A 20,410-nucleotide genomic window follows, 5' to 3' on the forward strand; every position below is an offset into this window, starting at 1 on the left:
CCAGGAGAGGAGCTGTTTTCGTAGGCGTGTTTTAGGAGGGGTGCGTTTATTAGACAAACGCTGGGAGACAGGCCTGGTGGGGACCTGGCTGGGGGATGATGCAGCCCGCGATGGCTGCTGCTTCGTACTTGGCTTGCCCCGGACCACAGCCTCGTAACGGTAACCCCTGCTTTCCAGGGGCCTGGCACCCCCCCCTGCCAGGGTCCACACGCAGGGTTGTGGCGGGACCACCCCTGCAGGTCCAGCTCTGTCTCCCACCTTTTGCACAGAGCTTCAAGGGAAGCCTCCAGAAGTCAGGGGTGAGAACCCGTCTTGCTCTGCCTCAGGCAACCCCGGGACAGGCTGAAGCCCCTCACGCACTTGGGTGCCCGACCAGCAGCAGCAAGGGCAGCACCTGTGGGCCTCGGCCCAGGGCCAACGGAACAGGCTCTGGGACCTCAGGGAACCTTCTGCTGCCTGGGCCACCCCACCCCACCTGGGCAGAGCCAGTGGGAACCCAGAGGCACCCAACTGGAGGTGACGAGGCGGCTGCGGGTCCTGGCTAGTCCTAGCTCCTACTCGGGTCCCAGCACACCCTGCAGCTCACTCAGAATTTTGGGGGAAGCCCTGGGGTCTTGGGGCATGTGGTTCTGCTGTCACACATGGACACGGCCTCCTGGGAGTCCTGGTCCTGCAGCCCCTACCACCGGATGCCCAGGCCAGTGCTGGCCTTCTCCACGGCGTGGTACTGCGTATGCAGCAAGCGACCTGCACACTCCGAGTCCGTGCCCTGCAGCCAGTGTGTGTACAGCTCCTGAACCCCAGGCGCGTCCTCGGGCGCCTCAGCCCGGACCATGCCGTACAGTCTCTCCACGTGCTGGAGGAGCTCTCTGCTGGGCCTGTCTGGGGCCTGGAGCTGGCCCCCGCCGTTCAGGCAGCCTATGGGAGAGCAGACGGGACAGGGGTCACAGCCTGCGCCCCAGCCAAGCTTCCTGACCACCAGGGAGCAGGGAGGTGACCGGGCCCCCTCTGTGCCCCACTTCCTCCCACTCCCAGCCTGGTGGATGGTGGCCCACAGCTCTGCTCCCAGAAGGGGTCCTCGTGTCCTGTCCCTTGCAGGAGCTACCTGAGGGGCAGGCCATGACCTCCACGTAGTGGTAGGGGCAGCGCCCTCGTTTGAGCCTCTGCACCAGGTTCTGGATGTTGCGGAAGCCGTACGCCATTGCGAAGTGCAGCAGCACCTGGCCCTCCTTCTCCAGTGTCACCTCCTGGAAGTCTTTGTTCCTGGGGGGCACAGGCGGGGTTTGTCTACATGGCACACCCACCAGGCTCCTGCCTGCCTGGAAGGGGAGGCCTGCTGGGCTTCAGGGGATGACCGGGTACCTCCCAGGGCTCTCTCCCTCTCTCCTGGGCAGAGGGAAGGACAAGAACGGAGAGAGAGGGTGGAAGGCTCACTTCCTTGAGTCCAGCAGGGGACCTCACCTCCAGCCTCGGGCTGTCTGTGAAACAGGCCTCCCTCCCCAGGGATGTCTGTGAGGCCCTGGCCCTCCCTCCTGGGATGTGGTCGCGTGCCTGCGCCAGGCACCCATCACCTTTGCCCATGCTGGCCTCTCGGGCTCAGGGTCACCATCCCCCACAATGGGCCGACTGAGGCCTGGAGTGCTTAGGTGCCTTCACACCCTGAGCCCGCCAGGAGGGCCCTGCCTGGCCCCAGGGTCCCCTCCAAACCCTGCAGGCTGCCCTCCACCCAGCCCACCTCTGTGGGAGGACCCCAGGGGAGGCAGCAGCCCGAGGAAGGCTGGGGGCTGTGTGGCCGCTCTGCCCAGAGATCTGGCCCATCCCACTGACCTCAGGGGTTTGTAGGTAACCTCAGCCACATGGATTCCAAAGAGCTCTCGGGCCGCGTGCCGGAACACGTGCTCCAGGTAGCCCCCCGAGCCCCCTCCCCGATGGCTGGTGGGCTCCTCTGCAGAGGCACCGCTGCACCTGGCAAGGAGGGAGGGGCCTCAGCACAGCTGGGGCTGCTGCCTGCCAACCTCCCGAGCAGGGCCTCTGTCCCTCACACATGAGCGTTTGCATTTCCAGGTGGGAGACAAGTCACAGACACAGAGGAACAGCTCCTGTGTCACCAGCCATCACAGGGGCCCAGCCACTTCTTGTTTTTTTTTTTGAGACGGAGTCTTGCTCTGTCGCCCAGGCTGGAGTGCAGTGGCGTGATCTTGGCTCACTGCAAGCTCCGCCTCCTGGGTTCAAGCAATTCTCATGCCTCAACCTCCCAAGTAGCTGGGATTACAGGGCCTGGCATGGATTACCACCATGTCTGGCTAAATTTTGTATTTTTAGTAGAGATGAGGTTTCACCATGTTGGCCGAGCTGGTCTCGAACTCCTGACCTCAGGTGATCTGCCCACCTTGGCCTCCCAAAGTGCTGGGGTGACAGGCGTGAGCTACTGCGCCTGGCTATCCAGCCACTTCTGTGGACGCCAAGATGGGCTGCGGGGAGGCAAGCCCAGAGCAGGGGGATGCTATCCTCAGAGGCAGCGTTAGAAGCTAAAATAACAGTTCTTGGTGGCAGACATACGTACAGGCTGTCCAGAGGGGCTGGTTCCAGGTCGGGGAGGGAGACGCCCTCTTCCTCCAGCAACCTGAAAACTTCTCCTGCAAAGAAGCCACAGCGCAGACACTCTTTAGCGGAGATCCCAGCAACAAAGTCAGAGAACATCCAAGCCACCTGCATCCCCAGCAGTCTGCACTTTGGCCCCAGAAGGCCCCAAATGTCCACCCTAGCCCGTGGTGGGGAGGCCAGGCCCGGTCACTCCTGAAGCCCCTCTGGAGGCTGCCTGGTCCTGCCCAGGGAGGTGTGCCAGCGGCCAGGCCACTCTGCTCACCCAGTGTCCATCTGTCCATCCTCTTAGGCAGTCTGCTTTTCTTTTTTTTTTGAGACGGAGTCTCACTCTGCCGCCCAGGCTGGAGTGCAATGGTACGATCTCGGCTCACTACGACCTCTGCCCCCCGGGATCAAGTGACTCTCCTGCCTCAGCCTCCCGAGTAGCTGGGATTACAGGAGCACCACCACTACTCCCGGCTAATTTTCGTATTTTTAGTAGACATGGGGTTTCATCATCTCGGCCAGGCTGGTCTTGAACTCCTGACCTCGTGATCCACCCACCTCTGCCTCCCAAAGTGCTGGGATTACAGGCGTGAGCCACCATGCCCGGCCACAGTTTGCTTTTCTGCCTCACATTTGGGAGACTGTGGGGCTGCTCGACTCAGGAATGGGGTGACTCATGGGAGCTGAAGAGGCTGCATTCGAGAATCTCTGCCCACCTCCAAAGACTCATTTCAGAGCCAACAAGGAGGTATTACTGAGCGCCACCTGGCTGCAGGTCCCCAAGACAGGCCAGCTGCAAATGGGCCCACCTGGCTCCAAGGGGAGAGACGAAGGTACGTGCACGCATGCGAGCCCCCACACTCCAGCCAGGGCCCCCACAGGCAGGATCCTGGGCAGTCGCCACCTGTGCCCAGGGCTCAGGAATCAGACCAGGAGGCTTGAGGGCTCAGGGCCGCACGGCGTGACCGCACCTGTTGTGAGGACACAGTCCACATCCCGTGTCTGGTGCTCCTGGTTGAAAAAGTCGGGTCTGGAGGCTTCCAGCTTTTTGTCATAGCAGGGCATCACTGTGACGTGGTAGATCTTGTCAGGGGTCAAGTGCTACAAGGAGAAACAAACACTTGTCTCCCCAATCCCAGCAGTAAGGTGGCTGAGACGGGACCTGGAACTCAGCCATCCTGCAGCCAGGCCGGACCCCGAGGGACAGTGAGCCTCACTCCATTTCCCAGCAAGCCTCCTGCCGGCTCTGCGGATGTGTCCCTGGACAGGACGGGCCCTGGCTGTGACAGAAAATGACACTGACCCATTCCCAGTGTGCCTGCGCTCCCTAACAGCCAAGTCCAGCGGAGGAGAAGTGGCCTTCCCACGGCTCGGGCCGTCTCACTGCACAGCAGCCGGGGAAACGGATGTCACGGGGGAACCAACCAGCTCCAGCCCCGGGTGAAAATCCGCGTGCAGTCAGGCAAGAGGTGCCGCAGGGGACATGGGCGCTCGAGGCCCAGGCACCACCGGGGCCGCCCTCGCCCTCTCCCGCCCCCTGCTGGCTGAGTGTCTTCAGGCTTCTATCCCGCTGGGCCTCAGGTGGGGGTCGTGCTGGGCATCCTCGTGGACCTGGTGGCCGGAGGGGTGGGCTCCAGGCCCGGACTGCCCAGGGCCTCCTGCTCCCTCAGCCTCAGGCCTGGCTGCCTCTGGGTGAGCAGTGAGCACCTCTGGATCAGAACGAAGCCCTCTGCTGCAGAAGAGGAAGGGCCTGAACCAGGAGGGAACAAGGGTGGAGGTGTGCTGGGGAAGGCCGCACAGCACAGCGAGGACTCTGTTTCCTGCAGCCTCATGGCAAGAGGCCAGCAAAGTCACTTCTGGCCGCTCCCCAGCCTGAGTCTGGGGCTGGCCCAACGCCGTTACCTGCTGCTGGGCGAAGAAGTCCTTGACCAGGGAGCCCATGACCTGCTGCGGGGACCGGGCGGTGCTGATGTGGGGGAGGATGAAGCTGCCGTGAGTCTTCTCGGCATAGCAGATCCAGCCTGAGGTGACAGGGGGCACACGGGGCTGGCGGGGGCGCACGGCGGCCCCCGCACCCACAGGCAGCAGCACGACATTCTGGGGGCGGGCCCGCTCATACAGGAGATCATGATGACATTAAAGAGTGCTCATTCCTGTTCTCCCCACCACCACGCGGAGCTCGGCGTGCAGGCGACACCGCCTAGGGACCTGAGGTGACTGCGCGTGGCTCCCACGGGAGGGCAGCCTCTTCTCCAGAAAAGGCCATTTGTGCCAACATTTCCAACCCGTCCCGCAAAACCTGCTTGCGTCTCCACCCCCCATGCCCCCGCCTTGTCATTTGTGTCCATATCACCTCACGTTTCAACTGCACTTGAACTTGACTCTCCCACCACCCGCACCATGAGCACACCTGGGCAGGCAGAGGCCAGCAGGGGCAGCGCCTGTCTGCAGTCGGCCTGTCCTCGGAATCGCCGCACAAACTCTCGCTGGCTCTCCAGGAGGCTGAAGTGCCTTGAGAAGGCGGTGTCGAAGACGAAGTGCACCCCTGGAAGGTGAAGGTGGGTGCCTGGTTAACCCCATGCGGGACGCCCACACGAGCACACGCCGGCGTGTGGACCACCATGGTGCTGCCAGGGCACGTGTGTCGCACCTGCTTGCCGTGCCAAAGCCCCGGCCCCACCGTGGGGACCTCCTAAAGCCACGTTGCGCCAAAGCCCCAGCCCCACTGTGGGGACCTCCTAAAGCCACGTTGCCTCGGCATCCCCTGTGAACCCAGGCCTTGGTTTCCCACCCCAGAGGCAGCCACCCAGCAGCTCAGTCCTCCACCCTCCCAGCTCTTCAGCGTGGCTGGTCCAGGGAATTGCCACGTGCGCTGCTCCCGGTGACCCTCCCTAGGGCACAGCTGGACGCAGCCTGCTGGACTGGCCCCTCGGACCCTGACTGTGCAGACCTACCATAGTGGCCACCCCTCACACACAGCAGGACTCCTGGAACACGCCAGCCAGCTCCAAGCCCAGCCATTAGAACTGCTCAGTAAACCTGCCTGATCGTGCCCTGGACCCAGCAGAGGCACCCGCGTGTGGGTCCCTCTCTCTCTGCCTGACTTGTCATTCCTCCCTCGCGTAACCCGTGGTCGGAGGACTCGCTGTGCCCCACTTGCCCGTCATCATCATCTCTAAGTAAAAATCTTTGAACTTGCTTCCTATTCTGGTGGGGACGAAATCCACACCTTCCATCTGGAGAACCATGGGCTGCCCCAGGCCAGGTTTTCCCTGGGACACCAGGTCAGGCTCCCAGTGCCAGAGCACTGCTCAGGCACCAACTGGATATGGGTCAGACAGGAGCCATGGGGCACCTGCCAGTGTCACCAGGTTTCCAGTGTGAGGGACCTGGGACACAGCTGGATGACAGGCAGTCTGCTGGTTACAAGGCGCACAGGCCTGCCTCACTGGGAATGAAGGGACTGGACATGGTGGTTACCTGTGAAAGGCACACAGTAACCATGAGGTCCAGCCCCTTCATTCCCAGTGAGACACCAGGCACTGGAGCCTAGTTAGCTGGGGGCTCTCAAGACACCCAGATCCTCCCCAAGCCCAGCTCCAGGCACATAACCAAAGTCAGCAGAAGCTGACCTTGGCTGAACCCAACAGAGCCCCGGAGAGAGTGCCTTAATATTATCAGCTAAAAAGTACAAGGAGTTGGTCAGCCCCAGCTTAGAGAAAGTGCACAGTCAGAATGCAGACGTGTTCTGTGAGAAGGCCCTGCTCTCAAATGTCAAATCAAAACTTCAGGCTGAGGTCACAGAGGGAATAAAGTTTCTGTAGCGCTGAAGTTCAGGGCTGGGTAGCGTGTCAGTGACTCAGAGGCGCGAGGGGCCTGGGCTTACTCAGACGCCCCCTTGATTTGGAGCGGCAGTGTTACCCCAGGTTCAAAGCCTACCTATTTTTTTAAAGAATGAGGTTAATTTCCTGGCAGTATCTGTAGGATTCAGCTGAAACCGTGCAGCCAGCGATGCTCTAGACTGTGGTGAGACCGAAACTACAACCAGCCTCTGCTGACTGGGTGCCGCCATCTGCAAAGCAAGGGGAAGACGCTGCTTACTCTGCTGGCCTTATGCTGATTCCTGGTGGCCAGAGCCGCACGGTGAGATGCTGTCAGCTGTGGAGAGGGCAGGCCAGCTCCATCAAGAGTCTTTTTTTTTTTTTTAACACAGAGTCTCACTCTGTTGCCCAGGCTGGAGTGCAGTGGTGCGATCGGAGCTCACTGCATGCAACCTCCGCCTCCCAGGTTCAGCCTCCTGGGTAGATGGGATTACAGGCGTGAACCACCGTGCCTGGCCAAGGGTATCGTTTTTTTTTGATGGAGTCTCACTCTATCACCAGGCTGGTGTGTAATGGCGCAATCTCGGCTCACTGCAACCTCTGTCTCCTGGGTTCAAGCGATTCTCCTGCCTCAGCCTCTCTAGTAGCTTGGATTACAGGCATGTGCCACCACACCTGGCTAATTCTTGTATTTTTAGTAGAGACGGGGTTTCACCATGTTGGCCACGGTGGTCTCGAACTCCTGACCTCAGGTGATCCACCCGGCTCAGCCTCCCAAAGTGCTGGTATGACAGGCGTGAGCCCCCGCGCCCAGTAGGGGTGTCATTTTGATGTATATTTAGAACCTGAAGTTTGGGGCCTGACACGTTCACCACTGGAGCCCACTGACAAATCACCAAGATTCCAAGCCTCAAAAAGGCAGGCGCCACCCGCACGACGGACGTCGGCACCACACGAGCTGCCCTTGGCAAAACGCGTTGTCGGCTGCTGGGATGGATTTCAGGTTAAAGCAGAGTCACCAGGCCGACCACTGCTTACCTTGTTAGCATCTAGAACCTTCTTCAGCTCCTCGTGGCTCTGCTGGGTGATAAGCACGGTCTCTGCGGAGGTGATGCAGCCGCTGCACGCCAGGCAGTCGTTTAGCGAGACCTTGGCCTTCTCCAGCCTCCGGGTCCCGCCGTCCTACAAGGGAGAAGAACCCGGTGCACAGGGGCCCCCTCTGCACGAGGACATGGAGACAGAGGATAGTGGAGTCCAGCTCATAACCGACAACCAACATGGCTGCTGGCTGGGCTTGTGTGCCGCTGAATTTTTAAAAATTAGGTATGTATTACAAAAATGCACACGCACGCTCTACAGTTTCATAATGCCGTCAAGTCTGCTTCTTGGTACCACTTGGTTAGTGCATCCGAATCACAGGACTAAGGCTTGCCACTGGTATCTCAGCAAAGCAGCAGCCACCCCACTCACCCATGGGGCCCTGGACGGGGTGCTGGCCCCGGTGCACACTCACAGGGCTGTAGGGCAGGAAAATGCCGAAGGTGGGCTCTGAAAGGAGGAGGCGGGAAAGCTGAGGACAAAGGAGGAAAGGACGAAGGCACAGGAAGAGGAGAGCAGAGGGAGGAAGCCTGGGAGCCTGGCCTCCGGTGGGCGGGGCAGAAACAACCGTCAGACTCGCCAAACAGATGCAGGAACAAGGTGTTCCAGTCGGGGGCCTCCGGGACATGCCTCAGCAACTTTTCTTACATGCAAAACGCACCCAGCTCGAGCTCCCCCAACTTCTCCTGCAAAGGCAGGAATGGTTTGAGCAGGGCCAGGGGTGCTGCAGTGGCCCGGAATACAGCCAGAGGAGTAAGGCGACTGGGTGGGAACTGTGTGGGAACCCCTCGCAGCCCAGCTCTCTGCTAGGCCTGTGTATCACAATCTGAGCTCGCCTTGTATTCCTACGTTGGTTCTGCCCCAAGGCACAAAGCCTTGCCTGCCACAGGGTGCTGGGCAGAGGCTGACAGGCTCCTCCAAACCAACTGCCACTGCACCGACAGCCACGCCTACCAGCACCCCAGCACCTTCCAGGGGTTCCCTTCGTTTGTGGGCTGGGCCCCCAGTGCTGGGCTGGAAATCGTCTCTTGGTGCAGTGGTTCATGAGATCAGGCAGACGTTTTTTAGAGTCCAAATGGCAGACAGGTGAATTTTAATAGTTTCTTTTTTTTTTTTTTTTTGAGATGGAGTCTCGCTCTGTCACCCAGGCTAGAGTGCAGTGGTGCGATCTCGGCTCACTGCAAACTCCGCCTCCCAGGCTCACGCCATTCTCCTGCCTCAGCTTCCCGGTAGCTGGGACTACAGGCGCCGGCCACCACGCCCAGCTAATTTTTTTTTTTGTATTTTTAGTAGAGACGGGGTTTCACCGTGTTAGCCAGGATGGTCTCGATCTCCTGACCTCGTGATCCACCCGCCTCGGCCTCCCAAAGTGCTGGGATTACAGGCCTGAGCCACCGCGCCAGGCCCAGTTTCTTTATTTTTTTGAGATGGAGTCTCTGTCTCTCAGGCTGGAGTGCAGTGGAGCAATCTTGGTTCACTGCAGTCCCTATCTCCCAGGTTCAAGTGATTCTCCTGCCTCACCCTCTTGAGTAGCTGGGATTACAGGCATGCGCCACGACACCCAACTAATTTTTGTATTTTTAGTACAGATGGGGGTTGGCCAGGCTGGTCTCGAACTCCTGACCTCAGGTGATCCGCCCCCCCTACCCTGGCCTCCCAAAGTGCTGGGATTACAAGCGTGAGCCACCGCGCCCAGCCTGAATTTTAACAGTTTCATCAGGATCTTATCACTTAGAGAGGAAGTACTATTCTTTAAGAATGAGGGGTCTGGGCTGGGCGCGGTGGCTCACGCCTGTAATCCCAGCACTTTGGGAGGCCAAGGCGGGTGGATCACGAGGTCAGGAGATTGAGACCATCCTGGCTAACACGGTGAAACCCCGTCTCTACTAAAAATACAAAAAACATTAGCTGGGCGTGGTGGTGGCCGCCTGTAGTCCCAGCTACTCGGGAGGCTGAGGCAGGAGAATGGTGTGAACCTGGGAGGCAGAGCTTGCAGTGAGCCGAGATCATGCCACTGCACTCCAGCCTGGGCCATCGAGGGAGACTCTGTATCAAACAAACAAACAAACAAACAAACAAAAGAACGAGGGGTCTGAATTAGAAAATCTTACATGGTTAGAACTAGGGGGAACAGGCAGACGCAGACAGGATCCACCATCTCTGCAAATAGCCCCTCTGCTGAGCAGATCAAGCTGTTTGGCCTGGGTGCTGCTCATTCACCTGCCCCAGGCACCCTGACCCCCAGCCTCCCAGATGGCAGGTGAATTCGACCAGTGGGAAAAGACTGGTGAGACCTGGAGTGTCTCGGGGTCACCGCTCTGTGACGGGAGGAAGCAGAGAAAAGTGTTTCGGATCAGCCGGGCAGGAGAGATGGTGGAGCAGCCTCCTGTGCCTTACTTGGTTAATTTGGAAGTAGCTCCCGTCATCTTCAATGCGAATCTTGGCCACGCCACTTCCCGCCCTTTTTTCCACTTTGACAGGCTTGATGCACTCCTAGAGCAGGAAGAGACCCCAAATCAGCCCCTGTGAGTGGGCGGAGGTTCCCTGGGAGGCCAGGCCTCAAGGATGGCTGCCCAGCCGCACAGCCTGAAGGCTCTGCCAGGAGCCATGCACTCAGGGACTGAGGCTGGTCCCACCGTCTTCTTCCTGCCCCACTGCTCTCACCCAGGGATCGGGTTCCCAACATCCTGCGGCACTGAAGTTCCCAGTGTGCAGGAAGGCCAGTGCTAACAGCGCCTGCAAACTACCCACCTGCGGAGACACCACCAACACTGACCTTCACCCTTCACGTGAACAGGGGGCGTGACCACCACAGAGACCAGAGTTGCACTGCCCATCGAGAGGACGTGTGCTTGGATCTGTTTGGAGACCACCTCCTGCTCAGTGCCCGGGAAACAAGTGGATTTCTCTCTCTTCTCCTTGAGAACCCTGGCAGCCCAGAAAGCCGCCTCCCAGCTCATCCCTGCCGGAAGCGCTCCCAGCAGCCCGCCTCTCGCCCTGCTCAGCTCTGGCCCCGCGGGGCTGTTGGACATGGACAGGCAGGTGCACCCAGAAAAGGGCGCCTGCAGCCTCCCGGGTTCAAGGGTAGCTGTCCGGCCCACCAGGGCGACGTTAAGGACAGCTCTACTGAGGAGCCACTGCGGGGCGTCTAGCGGGCCGCCCCTACTGCCCTCAAATGAGGTGGGGTCCCCACCGCACCCGTTTATGCAGATGCAAAGGCTGTGGCTTGGGGGTCCTGAGGCCTGACAAGGCGTCCTGCGCAGGGGAAGGGGAAGAGGCCCCGGCCCGGGCCCCGCCGCCCTCCAGCTGCGACCCAGGGGTCGGGTTAGGGTTAGGGATGTGTGGGAGCCGCCTCTGCTGCCTCCTCTGGGTTGGGCAGGCCGGCGCGAGCCCGCGACCACGGGACCCTCCCACGCAGCCCGCCCGGACACCATGGGGCACAGGAGCGGGTTGGGGGGCGCCGCCCTCCCTGGCCTCAGTTTCCTTGTTGGTAAGAAGCGGGCCTCAGTGTCTGAGGCCCCGCGCCCGGGTCGATAGAGTCCCTGACGGCCCAGACCGGGCTCCCGGGATTCGGATCTCATTCCTCAGGGGAGGAAGTGGGGCGCAGAGCAATTTCCCTCCGCGCGACAGGGCACCGAGCGCAGCCTCGACCCCGCCCGCCCAGGCCGGCCCACCTGAGACGGCCCGATGAAGTCATCCAGGTCCGTCAGCTGCAGCGCCCCGCTGAAGGGCGACGCCATGACGGCCGCACTGCCGCCGCGCGCAGGTGTCGCTAAACGGCGCGAAACGAAGTGGCTGGTTCCGCCACGCTGCCGGAAAGCGCCCCCAGGACGCATGCGCACCTCGTCCCGGGGCCGGCGCCCTCTGCTGACGAGCCCCGGCGCTGCGGCTCCCCGCCCACCTCGCGGGAACCCGGGACCTACCGCTTCGTCCACCTCCCGCGCGCCCCAGGCCCCGGGTTGGGGTGCAGGGGGCGCAGGGGTTGGTCGGGCCAGCGCCGCAGCTCCGGCCCCGGAGTCTCTCCGCCTTCACAAGGAAGCGGAGGGGATCTGGCTCCGTCCATTTCCTCATCCTCTGCGTACCTGCGGACCAGGTGCTCCCGGATGCAACCCAAGAACCCGGAACGCGCCTGGCACACAGGAGGCGCTCAGCTCGTGTTGGGGAATTCAGGCAGGGAAGAAAGCATGGATAGGCACGAGGTCTCCCCTTCCTGGGGAGCCGCTCCCAGGGCCTCCAGCCCCTTTTTCTGTTATCTTGGAGACCAGTCTGGAAAAGTCCATGCCCCTGGGAGACCCTGAAACAGGACCCTGTGGGCCGACTCGCTTTTCGTTTTTTTCTTTTTTTGAGACAGAGTCTCGCTCTGTCGTCCAGGCTGGAGTGCAATGGCGCGATCTCGGCTCACTGCAAGCTCTACCTCCTGGGTTCAAGCGATTCTCCTGCCTCAGCCTCCCGAGTAGCTGGGACTACAGGCGCCCACCACCACGCCCGGCTAATTTTTTGTATTTTTAGTAGAGACGGGGTTTCACCGTGTTAGCCAGGATGGTCTCGAACTCCTGACCTCGTGATCTGCCCGCCTCAGCTTCCCAAAGTGCTGGGATTACAGGCGTGAGCCACCGCGCCCGACCCCGACTCACTTTTTTTTTTTTCTTTTTTGAGACAGAGTCTCACTCTGTTGCCCAGGCTGGAGTGCAGTGGCGCGATCTCGGCTCACTGCAACCTCTGCCGCCTGGGTTCAAGCAATTCTCCTGCCTCAGCTTCCCGAGTAGCTGGGATTACAGTCACCTGCCATTGCATCCGGCTAATGTTTGTAGTTTTAATTAGAGACTGGGTTTCACCATGTTGGCCAGGCTGGTCTTGAACTCCTTACCTAGTGATCCACCCACCTCAGCCTCCCAAAGCGCTGGGATTACGGGCATGAGCCACCGCGCCTGGCCAGTTACATGTATATCTGGCATCATATGGCCAGTTACATGTCTAATGGCCAGTTTTATGGGGACTTTTCAGGAAACTCCTGGATCGAGGCTGGCATCTTTCCGGCCCAAGCAGGCTCAGCCCATGGAGATCTCACAGTGGCAACATCCTAGGTCCCAGCCTGCGCCGCACCCTCCCCAGGGTTCTAGGCCCTGATTCTGACCACATGTCCCCACCTGGATGCGGCCTGGGCACTCCTGCACCTGCCTGTGGGGTTTGGGCCACCAGCCTGTGTGGCCTTCTCCATCACCTGCAGCTGCTCCTCTCGGCCAGACAGGACTTTCTTCTGCTGCTGCACGGAGGAGCTTTCCCCAGCACCTGGGCCAGGTGAGCTTCCAGGTCCCAGCCATCCCGCCACCTGGCAATACCTGGCCGAGCTTGGAGATTAGGGGCTGAAATATCTTCTATTAAAAATAGAACAGGGGGTCGGGTGCGGTGGCTCACCAGCGCTTTGGGAGGCCCAGGTGGGTGGATCACCCGAGGTCAGGAGTTTGTGACCAGCCCAGCCAACATGGTGAAACCCCGTCTACTAAAAATACAAAAATTAGGCTGGGCGCGGTGGCTCACGCCTGTAATCCCAGCACATTGTGGGGCTGAGGCAGGTGGATCATTTGAGGTCAGGAGTTCAAGACCACCCTGGCCAACATGGTGAAACCCCATCTCTACTAAAAATATAAAAATTAGCCCAGCATGGTGGTTTGTGCCTGGAATCCCAGGTACTAAGGAGGGTGAGGCAGGAGAATCGCTTGAGCCTGGGAGGTGGAGGTTGTGGTGAGCTGAGATAGCACCATTGCACTCTAGCCTGAGCAACAGACTAAGACACTGTCTCAAAAAAAAAAAACTTATCAGGCGTGGTGGCACGTGCCTGTAGTCCTAGCTACTCGGGAGTTTGAGACAGGAGAATCACTTGAACCCAGGAGGCAGAGGTTGCAGTGAGCTGAGATCGCACCATTGTACTCCAGCCTGGGCGACTGAGCGAGACTCCATCTAAAAGAAGAAAGAAAAACAAAACACGAGGCCGGGTGCGATGGCTCACGCCTGTAATCCCAGCACTTCGGGAGGCCGAGGCCGGCAGATCATGAGGTCAGGAGATCAAGACCATCCTGGCTAACACAGTGAAACCCTGTCTCTACTAAAAATATAAAAAAAAAAAAATTATCCGGGTGTAGTGGCGGGCGCCTGTAGTCCCAGCTACTGGGGAGGCTGAGGCAGGAGAATGGTGTGAACCCGGGAGGCGGAGCTTGCAGTGAGCCGAGACGGCACCACTGCACTCCAGCCTGGGCGACAGGGCGAGACCCCGTCTCAAAAAAAAAAAAAAAGAAAAAAAATACGAAAGAAACTTAGTGCCACTGAAATGCAGTGGAGTGGGTTTACAGAAAATGTGAGAGTGAGGAGGGCTGTTGGGATAAGGGAAGGGTCTTTAGGTGAGCTTCCTCTTGCTGCTCCGGGTGGAGCTGGGGCGGGGTTCTTCATTAACTCACAGACATTTCCCTGGAGCCCCTGAGCTCTAGTGCCAACCTCGTGCCTCTGGGGTCCCTGCTTTCTGTTTTGCAGATTGTTTAATCATCGTCATTAGCGAGTATTTACCATGCACTTCCCACGTGCTAGTCCCTGAGCCAGGGCCAGGGAACCCAGGGAGGGCACGGGGGGACACGAGGGCCGGCTGGGGACATAGGGCGAGGCCGGCCGGACCCCAGGTTGCTGTGATGCTGTGACTGTGTATGGGCACCCCCTTTCCCTGGGCTGGAAGGGATGCCTGGTGGAGGCGTCTGCTCTGCGGGCACCCACAGGACCCCCCTTTGCCTACAGCCGCCCCCGGTGGTTGGGTGGGAGGTTGCATGCTAGCATCCTCTTGCTGGTCCGGGGTCATGATACTGGTAGAGCCACCTGGTCCCCTCTCCTGGGTTGGTGTCAGAGCTTCACCCTCGGAAGGGATCATCCTGTGCCTGTCTCCTGAGGCTCCCGTAACAAATGACAACACGCCGGGGTGAAAGCAACAGAGATGCGTCCCCTACTAGCTGTGGAGGCCACACATCTGAGGTCATGGTGTCATTCACCGTGCTCCCTCTGGAGGCTGCAGGGAGGACCCTTCCTGCTTTCTCCAGCTTCCAGGGGCTCCAGTTGTCCTTGGTCTGTGACTGTGTCGCTCCAGCACATTTTTTTTTTCTTGATACAGTGTCTTGCTCTCTTCCCAGGCTGGAGTGCAGTGGTGTGATCACAGCTCACTATAGCCTCAGCCTCCCGGGCTCAAGAGATCCTCCGGCCTCAGCCTCCCAAGTAGCTGGGACTACAGGTGTGCGCCACCATGCCTGGCTATTTTTACTGTTATTATTATTATTATTATTCTTTTGAGATGGAGTCTCACTCTGTTGCCCAGGCTGGAGTGCAGTGGCACCATCTCAGCTCACTGCAAGCCCCACCTCCTGGGTTCACGCCATTCTCCTCTCTCAGCTTCCCGAGTAGCTGGTACTACAGGCGCCCACCACCACACGTGGCTAATTTTTTTGTATTTTTACTAGAGACGGGGTTTCACCATGTGTTAGCCAAGATGGGCACAATCTTCTGACCTCGTGATCTGCCGGCCTCGGCCTCCCAAAGTGCTGGGATTATAGGCATGAGTATTATTATTATTTTTTGAGACAGAGTCTCACTCTGTCACCCAGGCTGGAATGCAGTGGCACAAGCTTGGCTCACTGCAACCTCTGCCTTCCGGGTTCAAGCAATTCTGCCTCAGCCTCCCAAGTAGTTGGGATTACAGGCTCCTGCCACCACGCCTGGCTAATTTTTGTATTTTCAGTAGAAATGGGGTTTCACCATGTTAGCCAGGATGGTCTTGATCTCCTGACCTCATGATTTGCCCACCTCAGCCTTCCAAAGTGCGGGGATTACAGGCGTGAGCCACTGCACCCGGCCTTTATTATTATTTTTTTTTGAGACGGAGTTTCGCTCTTGTTGCCCAGACTGGAGTACAGTGGCAGGATCTTGGCTCACTGCAGCCTCTGCCTGCAGGATTCAAGCGATTCTCCTGCCTCAGCCTCCTGAGCAGCTGGTACTACAGGAGTCCATCACCAGGCCTAGCTAATTTTTATATTTTTATTAAAGACGGGGCTGGGCGCGTTGGCTCACACCTGTAATCCCAGCACTTTGGGAGGCCGAGGCCGGCGGATCACAAGGTCAGGAGATCGAGACCATCCTGGCTAACGCGGTGAAACCCCGTCTCTACTGAAAATAGAAAAAATTAGCTGGGCGTGGTGGCGGGTGCCTGTAGTCCCAGCTACTCAGGAGGCTGAGGCAGGAGAATGGCGTGAACCTGGGAGGTGGAGCTTGCAATGAGCTGAGATCGCACCACTGCACTGCAGCCTGGGCAACAGAGTGAGACTCTGTCTCAAAAAAAAAAAAAGACAGGGTTTCACCATGTTGGCCAGGCTGGTCTCGAACTCCTGGGCTCAAGTGATCCTTCCACCTCGGCCCCCCAGTGCTGGGATTACAGCGTGAGCCACTGGGCCTGGCCTGGTTGTATCTTTTGGGAGGCTGCCCTTCAGCCACCACAGCCCTCATTTCAGGTTCTTGTGGGACCCTCGACAAAGAGATGCTTTCCACCTCCTAACCGGGTATGTGGCTCAGGGAGGCTGTGTGGGGGCTGGGCTGGCCCGCAAGGGGCGGGCGGGGTGGAGGTGGGGCCTGTGAGTCCGGTGGACGGGATGCAGCCCAGGTTGGCTGAGGGCCGGCAGGTGGTGCTGCGGAGCCCACGGGGGCCGGCAGGTGCCACAACCCCGTAAAGGGGGAATAAACCCCCCTCAGGTCAGGAGTTCCTGGGGAGGAGAGCTGAGTTTTCCAAAATTAACTAATTTTTCCTGAACGTCTGATTTCAAAACGTTTACTGAGCTTTCCTGTGTTCCATCAAGGCCTCTGCTTCCAGGAACTGGGAAAGGAGAGGTGGGGTCACTGCGGGTCTGTCTGGCTGGGTGGCAGGAGGGGAGAGGTGGGGTCACTGCGGGTCTGCAGGGCTGCAGGAGGGGAGAGGTGGGTTCACTGCGGGTCTGCCTGGCTGGGCAGCAGGAGAGGAGGTGGGTTCACTGCGGGTCTGCCTGGCTGGGCAGCAGGAGAGGAGGTGGGTTCACTGCAGGTCTGTCTGGCTGGGCAGCAGGAGGGGAGAGGTGGGGTCACTGCGGGTCTGCAGGGCTGCAGGAGGGGAGAGGTGGGGTCACTGCAGGTCTGTCTGGCTGGGCAGCAGGAGAGGAGGTGGGTTCACTGCAGGTCTGTCTGGGCGGGCTGCAGGAGAGGAGGTGGGGTCACTGCGGGTCTGTCTGGGCGGGCTGCAGGAGAGGAGGTGGGTTCACTGCAGGTCTGTCTGGCTGGGCAGCAGGAGAGGAGGTGGGTTCACTGCAGGTCTGTCTGGCTGGGCAGCAGGAGGGGAGAGGTGGGGTCACTGCGGGTCTGTCTGGCTGGGCAGCAGGAGGGGAGGTGGGTTCACTGCGGGTCTGCCTGGCTGGGCAGCAGGAGAGGAGGTGGGTTCATTGCGGGTCTGTCTGGCCGGGCTGCAGGACGTGCACTCAGACTCAGCCCGTGTGGTTTCCAAGGCCCGAAGGACACACCAGGCCAGATGCCCCCATCACACACAGGGCTAGGGAGCAGCAACTGGGGTCCACGGTGGTTCCGCCCCACCCCACCCCGCAGGGCCACCCTCCGAGAGCAGTGCTATTGTTGGTTCTCGCCATAGAACCTGGGTTTAGGTTTGGGGGCCCAGGGGCTGCCTGGTGGGGGGGTGGGGTGATATGGTTTGGTTCTGTGTCCTCACACAAATCTCATCTCGAACTGTAATCCCTGTGTCGAGGGAGGGAGGTGATTGGATCATGGAGGAGGGTTTCCACATGCTGTTCTCGTGATGGTGAGTTCTCACGGGGGCTGCTGGTTTATAAGTGGCAGCTCCCCCTCCACTCTCTCGCCTCCTGCCACGTGAGACGTGCCTGCGTCCTTCACCTTCCGCCATGATCGTAAGTTTCCTGAGGCCTCCCCAGCCCTGTGGAACTGGGAGTTAATTAAACCTCTTTCTTTTATTTTTATATTTTTTATTTTTGAGGCAGAGTCTCACTCTTGTTGCCCAGGCTGGAGTGCAGTGGCGCAATCTCAGCTCACTGCAACCTCTGCCTCCTGAGTTCAAGCGATTCTCCTGCCTCAACCTCCGAGTAGCTGGGACTACAGGTGCCCACCACCACACCCGGCTAATTTTTGTATGTTTAGTTGAGACAAGGTTTCACCATGTTGGCCAGGCTAGTCTTGAACTTCTGACATCAGGTGATCCGCCCGCCTCGGCCTCCCAAAGTGCTGGGATTACAGGTGTGAGCCACTGCGTCCGGCCAGACCTCTTTGTTTATAAATTACCCAGTCTCAGGCAGTGTCTTTATAGCAGTGTGGGAATGAACTCACATAAGTGGGGAAGGTGAATCCTCCAACTCCCCCACCTGTGTGGCCACTGATGTGCAGGACACCAGGATGAGCTTCCCAGAGGGCCAGAGCCAGGCAACAGAGTGCAGGGTAGGCCAGCATGGCCTTGGGGCGGCGTGGTACCCAACAGGAATGTGGAGATGAGGCCCGAGGTGGCGGCTCACACTGGTAATGGCAACACTTCGGGAGACTAAGGTGGGAGGATCGCTTGAGCCCAGGAGTTTGAGAGCAGCCTGGGCAACATATTGAGACCTCGTTCCTACAAAATAATGAGTCGGTGCAGTGATGCATGCCTGTGGTCCTAGCTACTCAGGAGGCTGAGGTAGGAGAATTGCCTGGACCCGGGAGGTCGAGGCTGTAGTGAGCCGTTATTGCACCACTGCACTCCGGCCTGGGCAACAGAGCAAGACCCCATCTCAAATAACAGTACAAAATAAGTATGGAGATGCTGGCTCCTGTGGGAAGCTGGGTGGACGTGGGGGGCACACCCTCCAGTCTGCAGAAACTTCCCGCCGCTCGGGCTGATGTGCTCGAGGGCTCCCGAGGCCCTGCCTCCCGGGTGGCAGAGGGAACATGGGAAAGGCTGCCGGGCCCCGGGCTCGCCGGTGGGTGGCCCCGTGCAGCCTGTTATTCATAAAACTTGGAGAGAAAGTGCCTTTTTGTAGGAAAGTGTGGGGTGCTGGCGGCCATTTCCACCTGTGGTTGGACCCAGACTGCCTCCCCGCGTGTGGCCCATGCCCCACCCCACACGCACCCCCGCCCTCTGTCAAGCAGGACTCGGGCTCTCCGTTGGCCGAGCAGACGTTTTATTTGTGGAACGGAATTGCTGTCGGGATGGGCGTGGGGTCGTTAGCAGCATAATCAACACCCACATCCACCCTGGGGGCAGCCACGTCTTGTCAACAGGTGGAGGCCGTGACATGCTGCAATTAGCAGCTAATGAGGAGGCCTGTGTGACCCACGCCTCCGTCACAGGTGCGCAGTGAGCTGTGGAAACGCCGACAATTTAAAATAGTCGAACAGGGCCGGGCGTGGTGTCTCAGGCCTGTAGTCCCAGCACTTTGGGAGGCCAAGGTGGGAGGATCACCTGAGGTCAAGTGTTCGAGACCAGCCTGGCAACATGGCGAAACCCTGTCTTGACTAAAATACAAAAAAATTAGCCGGGCGTGATGGTGCACGCCTGTAATCCCAGCTACTCGGGAGGCCGAGGCAGGAGAATCGCTTGAACCCGGGAGGCGGAGGTTGCAGTGAGCCGAGATTGCGCCACTGCACTCCAGCCTAGGCAACAGAGCGGGACTCCATCTCAAAACATAAAAATAAAGTAGTGGAAAAAAACTATAGGAAAAAGAAAAGAAAAAGCTAAAAAGAAAATTTAACATGTGAAAAAGCGTACTGGCCGGGTACAGTGGCTCAGGCCTGTAATCCCAACACTTTCAGAGGCCCAGGCGGGCGGGATCTCTTGAGCCCAGGAGTTTGAGACCAGCCTGGGCAACATGGTGAGATTCCATCTCTATTTTAAAAAAAAAAAAAAAAATCATGTTACAGGAATTCTAGGAATGGACTGTGGGCAGTTGCATGGAGATGGCCTGTAAGAGCTGGCCAACTTTCACAACCTTCAGCTTTATTTTGAAATCTTGCATTGAGATGAATAACCGCTTTTCTTTCTTTTAGGACATAGCTAACCCCAGAGAATATGTTCACATTCATTTTCCATGTGGCACTGCTTCGGTTGAAATTTTTTTTTTTTCTTGAGATGGAGTCTTGCTCTGTCGCCCAGGCTGGAGTGCAGTGGTGCGATCTCAGCTCACTGCAACCTCTGCCTCCTGGGTTGAAGCGATTCTCCTGCCTCAGCCTCCCGAGTAGCTGAGATTACAGGCATGTGCCACCATGCCCAGCTAATTTTTGTATTTTTAATAGAGACAGGGTTTCACTATGTTGGCCAGGATGGTCTCGATCTTCTGACCTCGTGATCCACCTGCCTCGGCCTTCCAAAGTGTTGGGATTACAGGCGTGAGCCACTGCACCCAGCCATTGTCGAAACTTTTCTTTTTCTTTTGAGACAGAGTTTTGTTCTTGTTGCCCAAGCTGGAGTGCAATGTCAGGATCTTTGCTCACTGCAACCTCTGCCTCCCGGGTTCAAGCGATTCTCCTGCCTCAGCCTCCCGAGTAGCTTGTATTACAGGCGTCTGCCACCAAGCCCGGTTAATTTTTGTATTTTTAGTAGAGACAGGCTTTCGCCATGATGGCCAGGCTGGTCTGTAACTCCTGACCTCGTGATCCGCTCGCCTTGGCCTCACAAAGTGCTGGGATTACAGGCATGAGCCACCATGCCCCGTGAGACAAGTTTATTAGAAATGACTCTGGGCTGGGCGTGGTGGCAGGCACCTGTAATCCCAGCTACTTGGGAGGTTGAGGCAGGAGAATCGTGGGAACCTGGGAGGTGGAGGTTGCAGTGAGCGGAGATTGTGCCATTGCACCCCAGCCTG

General features: G+C 58.7%; 1 protein-coding gene across 2 annotated transcripts, besides 6 other annotated features; it reads right to left on the reverse strand.

The window, feature by feature from the left end:
• Positions 28–11,260, reverse strand: CIAO3 (cytosolic iron-sulfur assembly component 3). Of its 2 annotated transcripts, NM_001304799.2 has the most exons (12): positions 11,183–11,260; positions 10,285–10,366; positions 9,906–10,001; positions 7,449–7,592; positions 6,529–6,661; positions 5,000–5,134; positions 4,492–4,610; positions 3,561–3,690; positions 2,564–2,636; positions 1,828–1,965; positions 1,106–1,263; positions 28–918 (listed from the first exon to the last, which is right to left on the reverse strand). In NM_001304799.2, the coding sequence occupies exons 5-12, from the start codon at positions 6,659–6,661 to the stop codon at positions 680–682; spliced, it is 1,125 nt and encodes a 374-aa protein (NP_001291728.1). In that variant the 5' UTR covers positions 7,449–7,592; positions 9,906–10,001; positions 10,285–10,366; positions 11,183–11,260; the 3' UTR covers positions 28–679. The 2 variants fall into 2 exon arrangements, with proteins under 2 accessions (NP_001291728.1, NP_071938.1); NM_022493.3 differs by lacking the exon at positions 10,285–10,366.
• Positions 7,952–8,246: an enhancer, noted in NCBI's record as "tiled region #977; HepG2 Activating non-DNase unmatched - State 15:Elon, and K562 Activating non-DNase unmatched - State 14:Gen5'". NCBI's record gives its function as "activates a minimal TATA promoter and a strong SV40 promoter by Sharpr-MPRA in HepG2 and K562 cells {active_cell/tissue: HepG2 | K562}" and the evidence as "EXISTENCE:reporter gene assay evidence [ECO:0000049][PMID:27701403]".
• Positions 10,586–10,885: a silencer, noted in NCBI's record as "silent region_6954". NCBI's record gives its function as "represses an Ori minimal core promoter by ATAC-STARR-seq in GM12878 lymphoblastoid cells {active_cell/tissue: GM12878}" and the evidence as "EXISTENCE:reporter gene assay evidence [ECO:0000049][PMID:35858748]".
• Positions 10,586–11,402: a biological region, named in NCBI's record as "H3K27ac-H3K4me1 hESC enhancer GRCh37_chr16:790544-791139".
• Positions 10,807–11,402: an enhancer, noted in NCBI's record as "H3K27ac-H3K4me1 hESC enhancer chr16:790544-791139 (GRCh37/hg19 assembly coordinates)". NCBI's record gives its function as "activates a minimal SCP1, AML or CMV promoter by ChIP-STARR-seq in primed H9 embryonic stem cells {active_cell/tissue: H9 hESC(primed)}" and the evidence as "EXISTENCE:reporter gene assay evidence [ECO:0000049][PMID:30033119]".
• Positions 11,256–11,315: a silencer, noted in NCBI's record as "silent region_6955". NCBI's record gives its function as "represses an Ori minimal core promoter by ATAC-STARR-seq in GM12878 lymphoblastoid cells {active_cell/tissue: GM12878}" and the evidence as "EXISTENCE:reporter gene assay evidence [ECO:0000049][PMID:35858748]".
• Positions 11,386–11,665: a silencer, noted in NCBI's record as "silent region_6956". NCBI's record gives its function as "represses an Ori minimal core promoter by ATAC-STARR-seq in GM12878 lymphoblastoid cells {active_cell/tissue: GM12878}" and the evidence as "EXISTENCE:reporter gene assay evidence [ECO:0000049][PMID:35858748]".

Source organism: Homo sapiens, chromosome 16 (genome assembly GCF_000001405.40).
Source record: "Homo sapiens chromosome 16, GRCh38.p14 Primary Assembly".
NCBI classification, from domain to species: Eukaryota; Metazoa; Chordata; class Mammalia; order Primates; family Hominidae; genus Homo; species Homo sapiens.

What these genes read in the sequence shown, in the direction of transcription:
- CIAO3 (NM_022493.3), bottom strand. Translation starts at nt 11,248, where the DNA reads ATGGCGTCGCCCTTCAGCGGGGCGCTGCAGCTGACGGACCTGGATGAC. An exon ending in CCAGCCCCTCTGGACAGCCT is followed by an intron (nt 1,966 to 2,563) that starts GTACGTATGTCT and finishes CCTCCTTGCCAG; the next exon opens with GTGCAGCGGTGCCTCTGCAG. An exon ending in GGTCATGGCCTGCCCCTCAG is followed by an intron (nt 919 to 1,105) that starts GTAGCTCCTGCA and finishes GCTCTCCCATAG; the next exon opens with GCTGCCTGAACGGCGGGGGC.